Source organism: Homo sapiens, chromosome 1, assembly GCF_000001405.40.
Source record: "Homo sapiens chromosome 1, GRCh38.p14 Primary Assembly".
NCBI classification, from domain to species: Eukaryota; Metazoa; Chordata; class Mammalia; order Primates; family Hominidae; genus Homo; species Homo sapiens.
Genome location: NC_000001.11, coordinates 64,602,806 through 64,619,476, shown reverse-complemented (window position 1 = coordinate 64,619,476; position 16,671 = coordinate 64,602,806). Strand labels below are relative to the sequence as shown.

Here is a 16,671-nt window from a genome sequence, read left to right as displayed (position 1 = left end):
TGACAAGCTCTATTTCCTCCATCACCCTCCGTGTAAGGACTTCAACAAACTGACTACTTCTTAGAGTTACTATGCTAATTCTAAGCAAACCCCCACAATTTTGTAATAACCATTGGCTTATTTTTCTTCAGCCACAGCACACAAACTGTTGTCAGATACGCAGCTGAAAAAATATGCCTTCTCCATTTCAGGCATTCTCACTTCCCATTTGTTGAGTCTCAAGACCCTCCAGCATATAGTATACTAAACTCTCCATGAATAATTCTAACAGATGGGCCCCAGATTCTCTGACCCCCAGACGTTGTCCTTCCAATTTCACCATCTACATCTAACTGGTTCTTATGTCATCAGCCTCTGCAGTCAAAACAAAACCAACCATGTCCCCCAAACTCCTTGCCTGCCCTCTTTAATTCTTAAACCACCTCATCTATGGGAAAAAGATGGATTTTTGTTGGGTTGCGACTTCTGTTTTTCTCAACAATATTGTCCACCAGAGGTAGGGACACACAGAACATGTTTGTAATGGAAAGCTTATTGCCTCCCACCTCAAGGAAATCTGGGCTTCCTGATGACCAGCCCAACACCACTCAGAAAAACACACCAAGCTGTCCACCTCCCGCGCTTGCCAAATAGAAAATACAAGAGCTATCCTAAATACACAGAGACACAGACAAACGAAAACACACATACTTCCTCAACAGAACAAAACTGACTTAGCACCTCTCAGTAATGTTCTGTACAACAGCAAACATTTTGGAGGAGAAGAAAATAAATTAACATTCTGAGGATTCCAAACAAAATTTCTGGCATCATACTGTGTCCCACCTTCCCAATTCCCACTTCCCACTTACATCTTGAGTATTGTTTTGCCATATACTATTCTGCAGGGGCCATATATTTCAGGGATCACTGGATACTCTTTATGCTGCTCCAGGGGTGGTAAGCATATTGAACACTTGACCATGTACCAGGTAAGGCTTTTATCTACATTACGTCAGTTAATTACTACAACAACCCTATGAGAGATTTTAAGCAGGGGAGGCAAAAGAGCTTTATGGAAAATGGAAGGAAGTGTAGTTAGCCTGGAAGAAGGAGTACCTGGGACCACACTATTGTGGAAAGGGGCCATGGCATAAACAAAATGACTAGATGCAGGTTGAGTGGGATGGCAAGAAGTAGAGAATCGGTGTAGACCACTCTTCTTAGTTGTGTAGCTGAGACAAGGGGAAAGATTACTGATAACTTAGGATACAGGAATGCCTTTCATTGTTATTGCTATTTGTTTTGAGGTAAGTTTTATTATCCACTGTTATTGCTATTTTTTTTAATCTATGAGGTAGGTTTTATTTATTATTCAGGAAACCAAGGCATAGACAGGTTACTTTTTTTTTTTTTTGAGACTGAGTTTCACTCTTGTTGCCCAAGCTGGAGCGCAATGGCATGATCTTGACTCACTGCAACCTCTGCCTCCTGCATTCAAGTGATTCTCTTGCCTCAGCCTCCAGAGTAGCTGGGATTACAGGCACATGCCACCACACCCGGCTAATTTTTTGTATTTTTAGTAGAAATGGGGTTTCACCATGTTAGCCAGGCTGGTCTTGAACTTCTGATCTCAGGAGATCCACCCACCTTGGTCTCCCAAAGTATTGGGATTACAGGCATGAGCCACTGCACCCAGCCATTATTACCACTTTCTAAGCTGAGGATATTCTGCTTCAGAAAGGAGGGAGTGACTTAAACCCTGTGACCTGAATGGGACATAGGCCATGTTGCTCAGTGATCTGCCACCACATTGATCATGCCAGTTAAGGCCCATTGCAAAAGTTAAACTAATGACAGTTGACCAAGCCTGTTCCTTGGGGCAATTCAATAATCCTTTCCTATCTCCTTGTTATTATTTTAGTCTAAGACTAAGGAGCAGGCATCCTCAAACCCCTGATTGTGTTCTGAGCTCATAGCTCTTTGTGTCCATTTTAGGTTGATTATATAATGCAAAAATAACCAGTCCATTCTGTCCTTGATTCATTTGAGACAGCCTGGTCATGGGTTCAGGGAATCTAGAATAAACTTCTGGGATAAACTTCTGGGCTCCACCACTCTCTCTTCTTCCTATCTAGTAGACCATTCCCAGAGGACCCAAAGGTCAAGGTGATCTTCAAGCATTTATAAAAGAAATAACAGAAAATTAACAAAAATTTAGTTCTCAAGCCTAGATGATCATCACAGTTTTTAGAACCCACAGATTACCAAGCCAACATTCTGATTCACTAGGTCTGCATGGCGGCTGAACAATAGTTTTGCTGGTTTTTTTTTTTGTTTTGTTTTGTTTTGTTTTTTTTTCACAAAGCATCCCAGGTGACTCTGATGTTCAGTTTGGTTTGGGGCAACTAACCTGAGACATTAATCTCCATTTTCCCATCCGTTTGCTTCACTTCTTTCTCTGTCTTTGGCATGTAAACATTTTTAAGTTTCTCTAACTTAAAAAAAAAAAGCAATAATGATGAAAAACATTCCTATATCCTAAGTTATCAGTAATCTTTCCCCTTGTCTCAGCTATGCAACTAAGAAGGGTGGTCTACACCGATTCTCTACTTCTTGCCATCCCACTCAACCTGCATCTAGCCATTTTGTTTATGCCATGGCCCCTTTCCACTGGCTTCCTTTCACTCTTAGATGACCTTAATGGTCTGGTCCCAGGTACTCCTTCTTCCAGGCTAACTACACTTCCTTCCATTTTCCATAAAGCTCTTTTGCCTCCCCTGCTTAAAATCTCTCAGTTGGTTGGCTTCAGGGTAAAAAACACATAAAACACAACCAGACAAACCCAAACAAAACACCTCAGACTGATATAAATGATCCATTAAAATCTGGCTTAGCATTACTCTTATTTTCTGATACTCAACTACCTCTTAAACAATGATCCATTCTGCATGCATATTTTATAGATTCCAAAATGCATGCTTGCCACAAGCACATCACCTGGGTAATTCTTACCATTTTTAAAAGACCCAGCTCAGAGCTCACAACCTGGGTCAAGTGCCCAGGGTTCACCTTTATCATCACAGCACTTAGCATGTTATCATAATTGAACTTGTCTGTTGATTTTTCTCCTCCTCTCCCCTCTCACCAATACACTTCATTATCTTGGTGTCTGGCACGGTAACCACCACATGCTTGTCACTTGAGAGAAGCTCTTCACGAGGGAGAGCCAGGAAGGAGTCAGAACTTATTCTGGGTCTCAAGATTAGGTAACTAGTAAAATGAAGCTGCTGTTAATTGACATACAGAACATGGGCCAAGGAGGAAGTCTGGGTGGGTAGAGAGACTATTTATAGGTATGGTTTTAGATACAAAGAGTTTCAAGTGTCAGTAGGCAGAATACAGTGATGGAAATACATCTCTTCATCTTAAGCAATCTATCTCAGGGAGGCCATTGACTAGGAGTCAGGACACATAATGTTAAGCCACGTCAATACCAACAATTGCTCATTGACTTTAGGTAGATCAGAACTTCTCATCTGTAAAATGAAGCTTATAACTGCCCTTGGTATCTATGGTAAGAATAAAATGAAAGTATAAAATGGTTTATGAGGTACTAAGAAGGAACGGACTGATTGTTTTGGATATATTGTGTGTCTGGGCTCATCATAGATGGTTTCATGTGACTCTGGAATACATTATTCATTTGTATAGTCTGTGTCACTCCACATCATGGGACATTTATGTGTGTTGATTTGCTGCTTAGCTAAGGAAACCACTGCCAACTAATAGCAAATCACAATCACAATCCTTTTTTCACCGAAGTCCTTCAAAAGTCTTGGTTATTCCATTATACAGAAGAGGAAACAAAAGCACAACAAAAATCCTAGTGACTTTCATTCTTTCTTTCAATAAGAATTTACTGTATACGTGCTATGGGCAAGGCACTGGATTGGGCACTTGGCATACAATAAATAAATAAAAATAAGCACAAGGTCAAGTAGGCATCTCACTTAAAAAATCAAAAATCTGCAGTAAGAATGTGCCATACAGTAAAGTCATAAAGAGTCATAGCTGAGCCAACACAACCCTGGAAGGCCACCCCAGCTTCCAAGCAGTCCTGGGGTTGGCAGAGGCCTTTGCTGACACTGTGTAGAAGCCCTGCTCTCTCCCATTCTCAATTCTCCTTTCCTCCCTTTCTTCATAGGCTGCCAAGGTCCATCTCAGAGTCTGCTTACTCAGAAAGCCAACCTGTTACAACAAACAAGAAATTCTTATCTAGAAGGGTGAGGGGAGGTGACAAGGAAGCTGGATCCTTAGGAATAAGCAATGTTTTACATGTCAGAGGCGGCTGGCAGCGTGCTGTAGGATGAAACAATAATGTGATCAAAAGTACGGAGCGGTGATGGAGGTGGGTGATTCTGAAGAAATGAAAGGGATTTCCTGAGGCTAGAGCCTGGAGGACTCAAGGAAAAGGAGCAGAAGATGGGGGTGCAGGGTCTCCAACGTGAGCTTAGATGTAAAGGGAGCCATCAGAGGCTTTTGAGAAATGCAGTTACAGAGGAGATTTTTTCAAAATACTCAGTGTGTGTTTAGGATGTGTGGAAAAAGAGGGAAGAGAAGCAGGGAAACCTTTTGGGGGGTCTCTACGTTAATTATTCTTCTAGAAGAGAAATGAGGATCTAAATTTACCACAGTAGCAGGGGAAAAAGAAAGGGGATTCAAGACTCATTTTTAGCTACAGAATCTGAGCCAAATTTCCTTTTCAATGAATAGAGGACAATGAGACCTATGTCACAAGTCAGTGTACCAATCAAGAGCCACTCATAGGCAGATGCCCAGCCGGTATCTAGACCAAACAAGAGCAACACACAGGCAGATGCACAGCCGGGTATCTAGGCCTAACAAGAAGAGCAATGCACAAGCAGGTACCCAGCGGGGTGTCTAGACCAAACAAGAGTAACCTATAGGCAAACGTCCAGCCAGGTGTCTAGACCAAACAAGAGCAACCTATAGGCAAATGTCCAACAAGATGTCTAGACCAAAGAAGAACAACCCATAGGCAGGTGTCCATCCAGGTGTCTAGACCACAAAAAGAAAAGCAACACACAGACAGGTGTCCAGCCAGGTGTTTAGATGAAATAAGAAGAACAATGCATAGGCAGATGCCCACTCAGCTGTCCAGACCAAATAAGAAGAGCAACACATAGGCAGATGTCCAGCCAGGTGTCTAGACCAGGCAAGAAAAGCAATCCATAGGCAGATGCCCAGCTGGTGTCTAGACTAAAGAAGAGCAATGCACAGGGAGATGCCCAGCCAGGGGTCTAGTACTTAGTGAATACTTGACAAATATTCACTTATTTATTCATACCCTTACGTGGACAATGACTCGTATTAGGTCAAAATGGATAAAACCTGGAGAAGTACTGAGCGGAAAATGGTGAGGAAAAATTCCCAGTGTAACCAGAATGAAGGTAATACTGAATATGACAGGGAACCCAGACTGGGGAGCAAATTCAAAGGAAAGTTTGTTTTGTGGTACCTACAGGAAAATCACAGTGAGATGTGTGTCCTGAAGGTGGTTATTCAATAAATAAACTCAGAAATAGACCAGGTCTGGAGCTAGAGATTGTGAATTCACCAGCATGTGGCAGGAGCTGGGAAGCTGGCTAAACTTAGAACATTCAGGAAGATAATGATTAGTGAGGTGAGGAGGATGGTAAGAGAGGATATGTGGGGACATCTACTCTGAGCTACAGAATAAAGAAAATGGAGCCCCAGAGGAAAAATAAGGATTAAACAGAGACATAAGAGGATAAATAGCAGAAAGTAATTTTATAGAAACCAAATGATAAGAGAGTTTCAAAAAAGAGGTTTACATGTCAACTACTACAAAATAGTCAAGCAAAACTGTAGAGGAGTCACTTGAAACCCTTCCAGGGAGCAATGAGAGCCTGACTTTTAAACACGTAGCCATACCTTGGAGATACTGCAGCTCAGTTCTCGACCCCTGGAATAAAGTGAGTAAGGCAATAAAGTGAGTCACACGAAGTTTTTGGTTTCCCAGTGCATATGAAAGTTATTTTTACACAACACTATAGTCTTTTTATATTTATATTTTTATTTTTTTATATTTTTATATTTTTACACTACACTACACTATAGCTGCTGTTTCATCAGCTAAATTCATGTAATATTCTAAGTCCTTTGTTGTTATTTCAACAATGTTCACAGCATCTTCACTAGGAGTACATTCCATCTCAAGAAACTATTTTCATTGCTCATCCATAACAAGCAACTCCTCATTTGTCTAAGTTTTATCATAAGATTATACCAATTGAGGCACATCTTCAGGCTCTACTTCTAATTCTAGTTTTCCTGGTATTTCTACCACATTTGCAGTGACTTCCTCCACTGAAATCTTGCCCCTCAAAGTCATCCATGAAGGTTAGAATCAACTTCTTCCAAACTCCTATTAATGTTGATATTTTGACCTCCTTCCATGAATCCCAAATGTTCTTAATGGCATCTAGAATGGTGAATCATTTCCAGAAGGTGTTAATTTACTTTGCCCTGATCCATCAGAGAAATCACTATCTATGAAAGCTACAGCCTTATGAAATGTATTTCTTAAATAATTAGACTTGAAAGTAAAAATCACTCCTTGATCCATTGGCTGCAGAGTGGACACTGTACTAGCAGGCATGAAAACAACATTAATCTCCTGGCACATCTCCATCAGAGCTCTTGGGTGACCAGGTGCACTGTCAATGGGTAGCAATATTTAGAAGGGAATCTTTTTTTTTGAGGAGTGGGGCTCCAGAGTGGGCTTAAAATATTCAGTAAAATATGCTGTAAACAAATGCTTCCAGGTTTTTTGAAAAGAGGGAGAGAATTAATTCTAAGCAGAAAGCCAAATGCATGTGACTCATTTTCCCTGAAAACATCTGAGTATTGTTCTATATACTACTACCTAGACTTATCCTTCAATGACCTAGGTATTTTCCTTACATACTCATTATAAAATTTAGCAACAACGACGATAAGTAACCACCAACATTAATTCAATAAACATTATATAAGCACCTATACAGTGAAGACTGAACAAGATGGTTGCTCATGAGGATATAAAGATAGATAAATGCTTCTGTGATCTCACAGTATGATAGAAAAGGTAAATGCATACAAAAATGGTATTGATATATGGAATCCTATAAAAAAACTTCTATTAGAGATACTTTGTATTAAGATAATATAATAACTTTCATTTGAATTATGCTTTTATGGTTCATGATAGGTTTTGGCTCTGTGTCCCCACCCAAACCTCATCTTGAATTGTAATCCTCACATGTTAGGGAGAAACCTGGTATGAGGCAATTGGATCATGGGGGCAGTTTCCCCCATGCTATTCTCATGATAGTGAGTTCTCACTAAATCTGATGCATTAAGTGTTTGGCAGTTCCCCCACCCCAATCCCCTCCTGTTGCCATGTAAGACATGCCTTGCTTGCCCTTTGCCTTCCAACATGATTACAAGTTTCCCGAGGCCTCCATAGCCATGTGGAACTGTGAGTCAATTAAGCCTCTTTTCTTCACAAACTCCTCAGTCTCATGTAGTATCTGTATAGCAGTATGAGGATGGATTAATACAGAAAATTGGCAATGAGGTAGCGAGGCACTGCTATAAAGATACCTGAGAATGTGGAAGTGACTTTGGGACTGGGTAACCAGCAGAGATTGGAGGGCTCTGAAGAAAACAGGAAGATGAGGGAAAGTCTGGAACTTCCTAGAGACTTGTTGAATGGCTTGGACCAAAATGCTGACAGTGATATGGACAATGAGGTCCAGGCTGAGGTGGTCTCACATGTGGATGAGGAACTTATTGGGAACTGGAGCAAAGGCCACTCTTGCTATGCTTTAGCAAAGAGACTTTTGCTTCTGCCCTGGCAATCTGTGAAACTTTCAACTTGAGAGAGATGATTTAGGGTATCTGGCAAGGAAGAAATTTCTAAGCAACAATGCATTCAAGAGTTGACCTTGCTGTTTCTAAAACTGTATGCATATATGCATGAACAAAGAGATTATCTAAAACTGGAATTTATATTTAAAAGGGAAGCAGAGCATAAATTTTGGAAAATGTGCAGCATGACCATGTGGTAGAAAAGAAAAACCCATTTCCTGGGGAGAAATTCAAGCCAGCTGCAGAAATTTGCCTAAGTAACAAGGAGCCGAATGTTAACAGCCAAGACAATGAGGAAAATGTCTCCAGGGCATGTCACAGACCTTCAGAGCAGCCCCTCCCATCACAGGCCCAGAGGCCTCAGAGGAATAAATGGTTTCTTTGGCCAGGCTCAGGGACCCACTAGTCTGTGCTGCCTCAGGATGTGGTGCTCTGTGTCCCAGCCACTCCAGCTCCAGCCATGGCTAAAAGGGGCCAAGGCACAGCTTGGGCCATGGCTTCAGAGGATGCAAGCCCCAAGTCTTGGCAGGTTCCATGTGGTGTTGGGCCTGTGGGTGTGCAGGCGACAAGAGCCGAGGTTTGGGAGCCTCTGCCTAGATTTCAGAGGATGTATGGAAACACCTGGATGTCCAGGCAGAAGTTTGCTGTAGGGGTGGGGCACTCATGGAGAACCTCTGCTAGGGCAGTGTGGAAGGGAGATGTGGGGTTGGAGCCCCCACACAGAGTACCCACTGGGGCACTGCCTAGCAAAGTTTTGAGAAGAGGACCACCATCCTCCAGACTCCAGAATGGTAGATTCACTGACAGCTTGCACTGTGCACCTGGAAAAGCTGCAAACACTCAAGGCTAGCCCGTGATAGGAGCCAGGAGGTGGGCTTACCCTGCAAAGCCACATGGGCGGAGCTGCCCCAGGCCGTGGGAGCTCATCTCTTGTATCAGCATACCCCTGGATGTGGGACATCTAGTCAAAGGAGATCATTTTGGAACTTTAAAGTTTAATGACTGCCCTCTTTGATTTTCGACTTGCATGGGGCCTGTAGCCCCTTTGTTTTGGCCAATTTCTCCCATTTGTAACAGGTCTATTTGCCCAATGCCTGTACCCCCATTGTATCTAGGAAGTAACTAACTTGCTTTTGATTTTACCAGCTCATAGATGGAAGGGACTTGCCTTGTCTCAGATGAGACTGTGGACTTGGACTTTTGAGTTAATCCTGGAATGAGTTAAGACTTTGGGGGACTCTTAGAAGGGCATGATTATGTTTTGAATTGTCAGGACATTAGTTTTGAGAGGGGCTGAGGCAGAATGATATGGTTTGGCTGTGTCCCCACCTAAATCTCATCTTGAACTGTAGTTTCCATAATCCCCATGTGTCATGGGAGGGACCCAGTGGGAGGTAACTGAATCATGGGGATGGTTACCTTCATGCTGTTCTTGTGAAAGTGAGTTCTCAGGAGATCTGATCGTTTTATAAGGGGCTTTTCCTCCCTGCTTCACTCTTCACTTCTCCTTGCTGCTGCCATGTGAAGAAGGACATGTTTGCTTCCCCTTCAGTCATGATTGTAAGTTTCCTGAGGCCTCCCCAGCCATGCTGAACTGTGAGTCAATTAAACCTCTTTCCTTTATAAATTACCTAGTCTCAGGTATGTCTTTATTATTAGCAGCAAGAGAGTGGACTAATACAATATGTCTACATGTGGGAGCTTAAATAAACAAATTAAGATTTGTTTTATTGATTTTACTGCATAAAATCTTATTTTATGAAAATAAAAAAGTTCAGGATACATTTGCTAAGTTAAAAAAAGGCTATATCCATTATGATATGTAGTATGAGTGTGAGTGTGTATATATATTTGTATTTATATACATATGTTGTGTATATATGTATATATGCCAGTATATGGCTAACAAAATCTTCTGAAGTCAGTGTAATAGGGTCGTTATGAGAAACTATAAGAAAGACCAAACTTTGATATAAGTTTGCAGTATAGGAATAGAGTTTGAAGGGGGAAGCAGGTAAAGAAAGAGACCTTGTTTGTTTAGTTCCTTAATTCTGTGTATGCATATACATAAGTATACACACATACATACGAATATAAACTGAATCATACAAGCTCAAGAATCTACATTTCTGAGTGACTAAACAGCTTTTAAATGTTATACAACTAATTACATATTTTATGACACTAATGCAATCATGAAGCTGAAGCAATTGGGCATAAAAAGGAATGAGAAATTTCTAGCTTGGTTGATTTTTCTTCTTTATTTCAGGTAGAACATGGCCTTTTCATTGAATTGTTACCAGGATAACTTTTCTAATGCATATTTAAAAGGTAATTTTCATGGTATTTTAAAGAGAAAAACCTATAGCACATAGTACATAGCTACTCATTATCATTCATAGAAGGAAATGATGAAGCCACAACAATCGACAGCCTCTAAGGCCCACCTGTACATCCTATCCTATAGCATTTACCTCTGTAACATGACTTATAAATGCCCCTTACACCCCGTGAATCCCGTTTCTCAATGAAGACTGCAATGTTACCAAGATCGAAGTTTGCGACTTCAAATGCTCTTTAAAATCAAACGCAATAAAGAAAGTCCAGACGCTTTTTCTTTCAGTGAGAAAGACTAACTCCTACTTCACTCTCACCTCAATTGCATAACTCAAGAGAGCAAGAGGCAACTTCTCTTGGACTCTTCAAATAAACTCTCTTTAGGGATCAGGCCATGCACAAGAAAATAGCTCAGCAGGAATTTAAAAGAAAAAAAAGAGAGAGAGTGAGAAAGTAGGGATAAAAGCAGGAAAGAACCTGAGCAAAACATTACCAGAACCATAATATAACACATGCACTGTCAAACTTTAGTTATTTGAATAGACTCAGGGACAAGGAGTCAATTTAGAAAGTAGGGATCTGGCTGGGGTGGTTTTAAGAAAAAGAATACACATATGTGTTGGATGAATGGACACACGACCCAGTTTTGGACAAATGAAGTTAAGAATGGTTTATAATTTATGTGAGTCTGCTTCCAGCTAGTCTGAGAGGCAATCTGAAACTGTGTTATCAATTAGGGGCCCATTGATGAATTATATACAGTATGAAAGAGCCTAAGGCTGGACATCTTGCAGATGTAAATATCAGACATGTGATAACCTACAAAGTACATTAATTCTGCTCTGAAAAGGGGCATGAGCTGTACAGGAGGAAAAGGGGGAACTCTGAGGTCACCTTTCACCATGTCCCACTCCTCTCATATTACAAATAACTGCTCAAGTATGTGGACTTTGGGATGTAGCCACTGCCTAGTAGAATGTTGCAAAACTTCAAATGCAAGCAAGTCAGTTCTTAAATACCTGAATATTGCCAAAATCTGCTTGTAAATCTAGCTGTGTCAACTGTGCTGAGAACAACTCTTGTTATGTAGTAGGTTATACTTGAGACATGCTCACAGAAATATAAAAATTCAAGATCTGGTCTTTATATTCTACTTACCTCTGCCCTCTCCACACTCTTCTTCCCCACCCTCTGAATTTTCAAACTATCTGAACTCTCTTCCTTCACAAATAAACACTGAAATACATCAGCATTTTGTTGGGATTATTTGTGCACTGAGTTTCAGTCTAAACCTCAGTAACAGGAGGTAATCTTAGTACCACTAACAGGTCTTTAATGCTTATTCCCTGGTCCTCACTCTCAGCTGATGATCTTGCTTTCTAATTCTCTGAAAAAACAGAATCACTAAGAAGGGAGTGTCCCCACGTTCATACCCATCATCATATGAGCATCTCCATCCATGTACTCTTCCTTTCCTCTTCTTGCTATGAATGAATGCTCTGTGCTTCTAGGTCCTCTACTGGTGATGCAGTATCTCTTACCTAATCAGGGAAAAAGCTCTAGCAATCTTCTCCCCTTGCTCTTGTGTCAATCTCTACTGGATTATTCCCTTTGGCACATAAACTGAGTATAATTTCTCTCAATTAAAAAATATCTTCTTGATCTCATCTGGCCTTCTAACTTTCCTTTGAGCAAATCTCAGGAGTTCAAGTCCTTATTTCCTCTGACTCCTCTCCTCCGTTCTCCAGAGCTTGAACCCTCTAGGATCAGCCTATGCTACTATTCTACCAAACAACCCTTGACAAGCTCACCCATAGCCTCTACATTGCTAAATCATATGGCTGGTTTTCTGGACCCTCAGCATACAGGGACTAGGTGACAAAGTTGATCTCTCCCTCTTTCTTGCAACACTTTCTTCACTTGGCTTCAGGGAGACAGTCCTCTTGGTCCTCTTTCTACCTGCCTGACTGCCCTTCTCAGCTCCCTTTCCAGCTTCCTCTTCATCTCAGTGTCACCTCAGCAGTAAAGCACCCCAAGACTCAGTCCCTGGAGCCCTTCTCTTTTCTACCCACAGTCACTTGCTACGTGATCTAAATGAGCCTCATGATTTTAGTACTACCTATACACAATGAATCTCTAGCCTTGGCTATTACCTAGACTGCAGACTTGTATATCCAACTGCTTATGAGGCCCTTCTACTTAGATATCCAATGAGCATCTCAAACGTAACTTTTAATAACCTGCCTCTCACACAAACCTGCTCTTCTCCCAGCATTCCCCATCACAATAAATGACAACTCTGTCCTTCTCCTTGTAAGGCCAAGGATCTTAGAAGTCTTTCTGGACTCCTCTCTTACTCTCACATACCTGGTCCCCTACCCTGCCCACCATCCAATGGACCAGCAAATCCTACTGATTCTACCTTCAAAACATATTCAGAATTCAACTGCTTCTCATCACCTCCACTGTCACTGCACTATTAATGCTATCATCATCTGCTGCCTGGATTTTGGAGTAACTTTCTAAGTTGTCTTCCCCTACTTCTACCTTTGCCTTGTCCAGTCTAGTCTTGGCTCAGTAAACCTTTTAACCGAAGTCAAATCATGTCACTTCTCTATGTAACTACCCCACCACATGATGGCTTTCTATCTCATTCAGAGCAAAAGCTAAAGTCCTTATAATGGCCAGTAAAATAAGGCTCTTGGTGACCTGGCCCCCGACTGCCTCTCTGGCCTAATCTACTCCCAGCTCTTTCACACCACCACAGTTACAGTGGCCTTCTTGCAGTTTCCAAGCACACCAAACAGTCACTCAATTCAAGGTCTTTGCCCCAGATATGCTGCCCCCAGATAAACCCATAGTCTACAATCCCACTTACTCAGATCTCACCCACAAACCCTTAGATGAAATAGTAAGTCATCTGCTCCTCCCCCCGACAGCCAACCGTATTCCCTATGTCTCATCTCTGCTTTACTTTTCCTTGATAGCATTCATCATCTTCTAACATATCACTTGTTTCTATGTCTCCTGGCCCCTGGCCTCCAGATTATAAGCTGTGTGCGTGTGTGTGCGTGTGTGTGTGTGTGTGTGTGTGTTTACAGCTCCTGACCTAGAACAAAAGAGTACTTACTATGCAGAAGGCATTTAATAAATATTTGTCAAATGACTTCTAGTTGTACTTATTCCTTCCACTTAACAGGTAGGAGACCATTCTTCCAGGTTATGGCCATATACTAGAGAGGCCACTCCCCAGATTCCCCTGTGTAAAGTCTCCCAATGGCCTTCTAACTCATTCAGAGCAAAAGCTAAAGTCCATAACCTGGAAGAATGGCCTGAGTATTCACTAAGAAAAAGTAACACTACTTCTAACAATGAAGCCAGATCTCAACAATGTGCTCATTATCAGAAACAATACAATAAATAGACAAAAAATAAGGCAATGAGGATGAGGCCCTGGCTGCCACAGCCTCCAGATCCTCCAAGATCTGACCGACCCACTGATGTGGGTGGTCTTGGCAGGGGACCATCATTCTGGACCCCAAGTGAGCACACCCCCCACTCAGTCTGCCCAAGCCTGCCCTTTCCTACTGTCCCAGTCACACAGCCAGGAGGTTAATGGAGCTTCTAGAATCTCAACACCAGACTTAGGATCTATTATCAGAAATACGTTAAGGAAGGTACTGTCTACTAGAAAGGAGTGAAAATGCATTTGAAAGTCGTCCATAATTCCTTCTTTTTTTATTTTTTCCCTGATTATAAAAACAGCAAATGCTTAATTTAAGATTAAGAAAATTAATAAGGAAGTAAAAATATCCCACTGTTTCATCATTAAAAAATAACTATTAACATTTATGTGTGATCCATCTAGATCTTATTTAAATACACACTAATATTTAAAACTTAATTATTGTATAAATGCACACTAATTCTTAAATCTTGGTAGGCACGGTGGCTCATGCTTGTAATCCCAGAACTTTAGGAGGCCGAGGCAGGTGGACCACCTGAGTTTAGGAGTTCGAGACCAGCCTGGCCAACATGGTGAAACCCTATCTCTACTAAAAATACAAAAATTAGCCGGTCGGTGGTGGGTGTCTGTAATCCCAGCTACTTGGGAGACTGAGGCAGGAGAATCGCTTGAACCCAAAAGGCAGAGGTTGCAGTGAGCCAAGACTGCATCACTGCACTCCAGCCTGGGTGACAGAGCAAGACTCTGTCTTTAAAAAAAAAAAACAAAGAAAAAAAAGAAAAAAAGCCTAGGCGAGGTGGCTCATGCCTGTAATCCCAGTACTTTGGAAGGCCGAGGCGGGTAGACCACAAGGTTAGGAGTTCGAGACCAGCCTGTCCAACATGGTGAAACCCCATCTCCACAAAAAATACAAAAATTAGCTGGGTGTGGTGGTGGGCACCTATAATCCCAGCTACTTGGGAGGCTGAGGCAGGAGAATTGCTTGAACCCGGGAGGCAGGGGTTGCAGTGAGCCATGATCACGCCACTGCACTCCAGCCTGGGCAACATAGCAAGACTCTATCTCAAAGAAAAAAAGAAACAACCCATGAGTTACCATGACTTGTAAAAAATTTAACTACATACAATGTTGGATTACAGTATGTATTTTTGGAACGCTTACATCTGATCCTATTCAGATTGCTATTTCAACCTCAAGTCTTCAGAACAAGCAACATCTCTCATGTACCTGGGAATGTTTTAGGGAAAAAACTGAATTTGGGAACCTGGAGACTCGATTTCCAGCTTTGCACCCTGTGCCAGTTGTGGAATCCTCCCCGTTAATTTACCTGCCCATTCCATGCCCTTGTCTACCCTCTTTTGTTATTTTTGTAATGAAAACCATTCTCATTTAGCTTCCTTTCTAGTAGTAAACCTCACTTGCTACAGAGGGTTCCAGATGATCTGACCAATGAAAAATGATATGCCTAGCAGATTTGCAGATTTAGGTTGGATCATTTATCTAGCAGCTATAGTTTTATTATGCCTAAGAAACATGCAACTTACAGCTTATTCTTTTCAGACCTAATAGATTACATGATTTGTGTATACAATTCCCAAAGATTACAATTTCTGCCCCAAACTGAGACCTACTGGGGCCCTAAAAGTAAATATTCTGGTCCTCTGCCTTTCTCTTCGGCTTTATGTGTCTACATGAGACCTGGAATTTGGGAAGTATGGTTCTTCATGTTTAAGGATGCTTTGTCTTTCCAGCAATAAGGAAAGTCTTTGGGGGGGTTCCCGTGCTTTAGATTTTTTTCTTGGTAAAATCTGAGGATTGGAGATGGTATTATTTCTTAAGTTCCTTCCAGCTCTTAAACGGTGAACCCTCTAGGTTCTGAGATGTATCAATCAACAAGAGTACATAAGACAAAAAGAAAGAGAAATATGGAGTGGAACTCTAGGGCAAAAAAGTGGAGATATCAGGTCACTTTGGAGCTAACCAGTAGTTATATAAATATGAGTACCCAGTAGTTATTAACACCACCTTCAGCTGAGTTCCAATGAGAACAGGAAGAAAGTTCAACCTTGGTATATGGTATTATGGCCCTAAGTTTATTAATAGAAAAGCTCTCACAGCATTTTTCCAGAAAAATCCCAAAACAGATTAAAAATTGTAACTAGGGAATGCAAAGAAAATCCAATACCTCCTATTGCAAAGATAACTGGGTCTCTAAAATAACCTTTAAAATAACAGATGTAAAATTCATGATAAATGAGTTAATAGATTGAAGAGCATAGAAAGGTATTTGGCATGTACCATATATAGCTATCTAGTAGAAGCTTAAGATATTGGCCGGGCGTGGTGGCTCACGCCTGTAATCTCAGCACTTTGGGAGGCCAAGGCCAGCAGATCATGAGGTCAGGAGATTGAGACCATCCTGGCTAACACAGTGAAAACCCGTCTCTACTAAAAATACAAAAAATTAACCGGGTGTGGTGGTGGGCGCCTGTAGTCCCAGCTACTCGGGAGGCTGAGGCAGGAGAATGGTGTGAACCCGGGAGGCGGAGCTTGCAGTGAGCCGAGATCGCGGCACTGCACTCCAGCCTGGGCAACAGAGTGAGACTGTTTCAAAAAAAAAAAAAAAAAAAAAAAAAGATGTAAGCTTGATTTTTTCTTCTTCCTCTCCCTCTCTTGAGGGTTAACTTTCCAGCAAGAAATATCCAATCTTAAGTATATAATACTTCTCTTCAAAAATTAAAAAAAAAAATTGAAGCAATATGTTTATTCAACTTGAATGCAGTAGAATACAGTTCATCTTTATAAAGCCAATGGATTACTGACCTGAATTTAAGTCTCGTCCTGGATTGAAGGCCCGGCTATTAACAGTAGTAGAAAGTCGATCACAACTAATTGTTCTAGACACATTGGTATTAAAGTTCCCATCGAAT

The 16,671-nt window shown here is 41.3% G+C and overlaps 1 protein-coding gene across 5 annotated transcripts in view; it reads right to left on the bottom strand.

Moving 5' to 3' along the window:
• CACHD1 (cache domain containing 1) overlaps window positions 1–16,671 on the bottom strand; it is a 222,925-nt gene that overhangs the window by 73,577 nt on the left and 132,677 nt on the right. For all 5 annotated transcript variants that reach the window (NM_020925.4, XM_047426234.1, XM_047426235.1 and 2 more), the window contains one exon: window positions 16,565–16,671. In NM_020925.4, the coding sequence (NP_065976.3) occupies window positions 16,565–16,671 (107 nt within the window). The remainder of the gene's footprint in view (window positions 1–16,564) is intronic.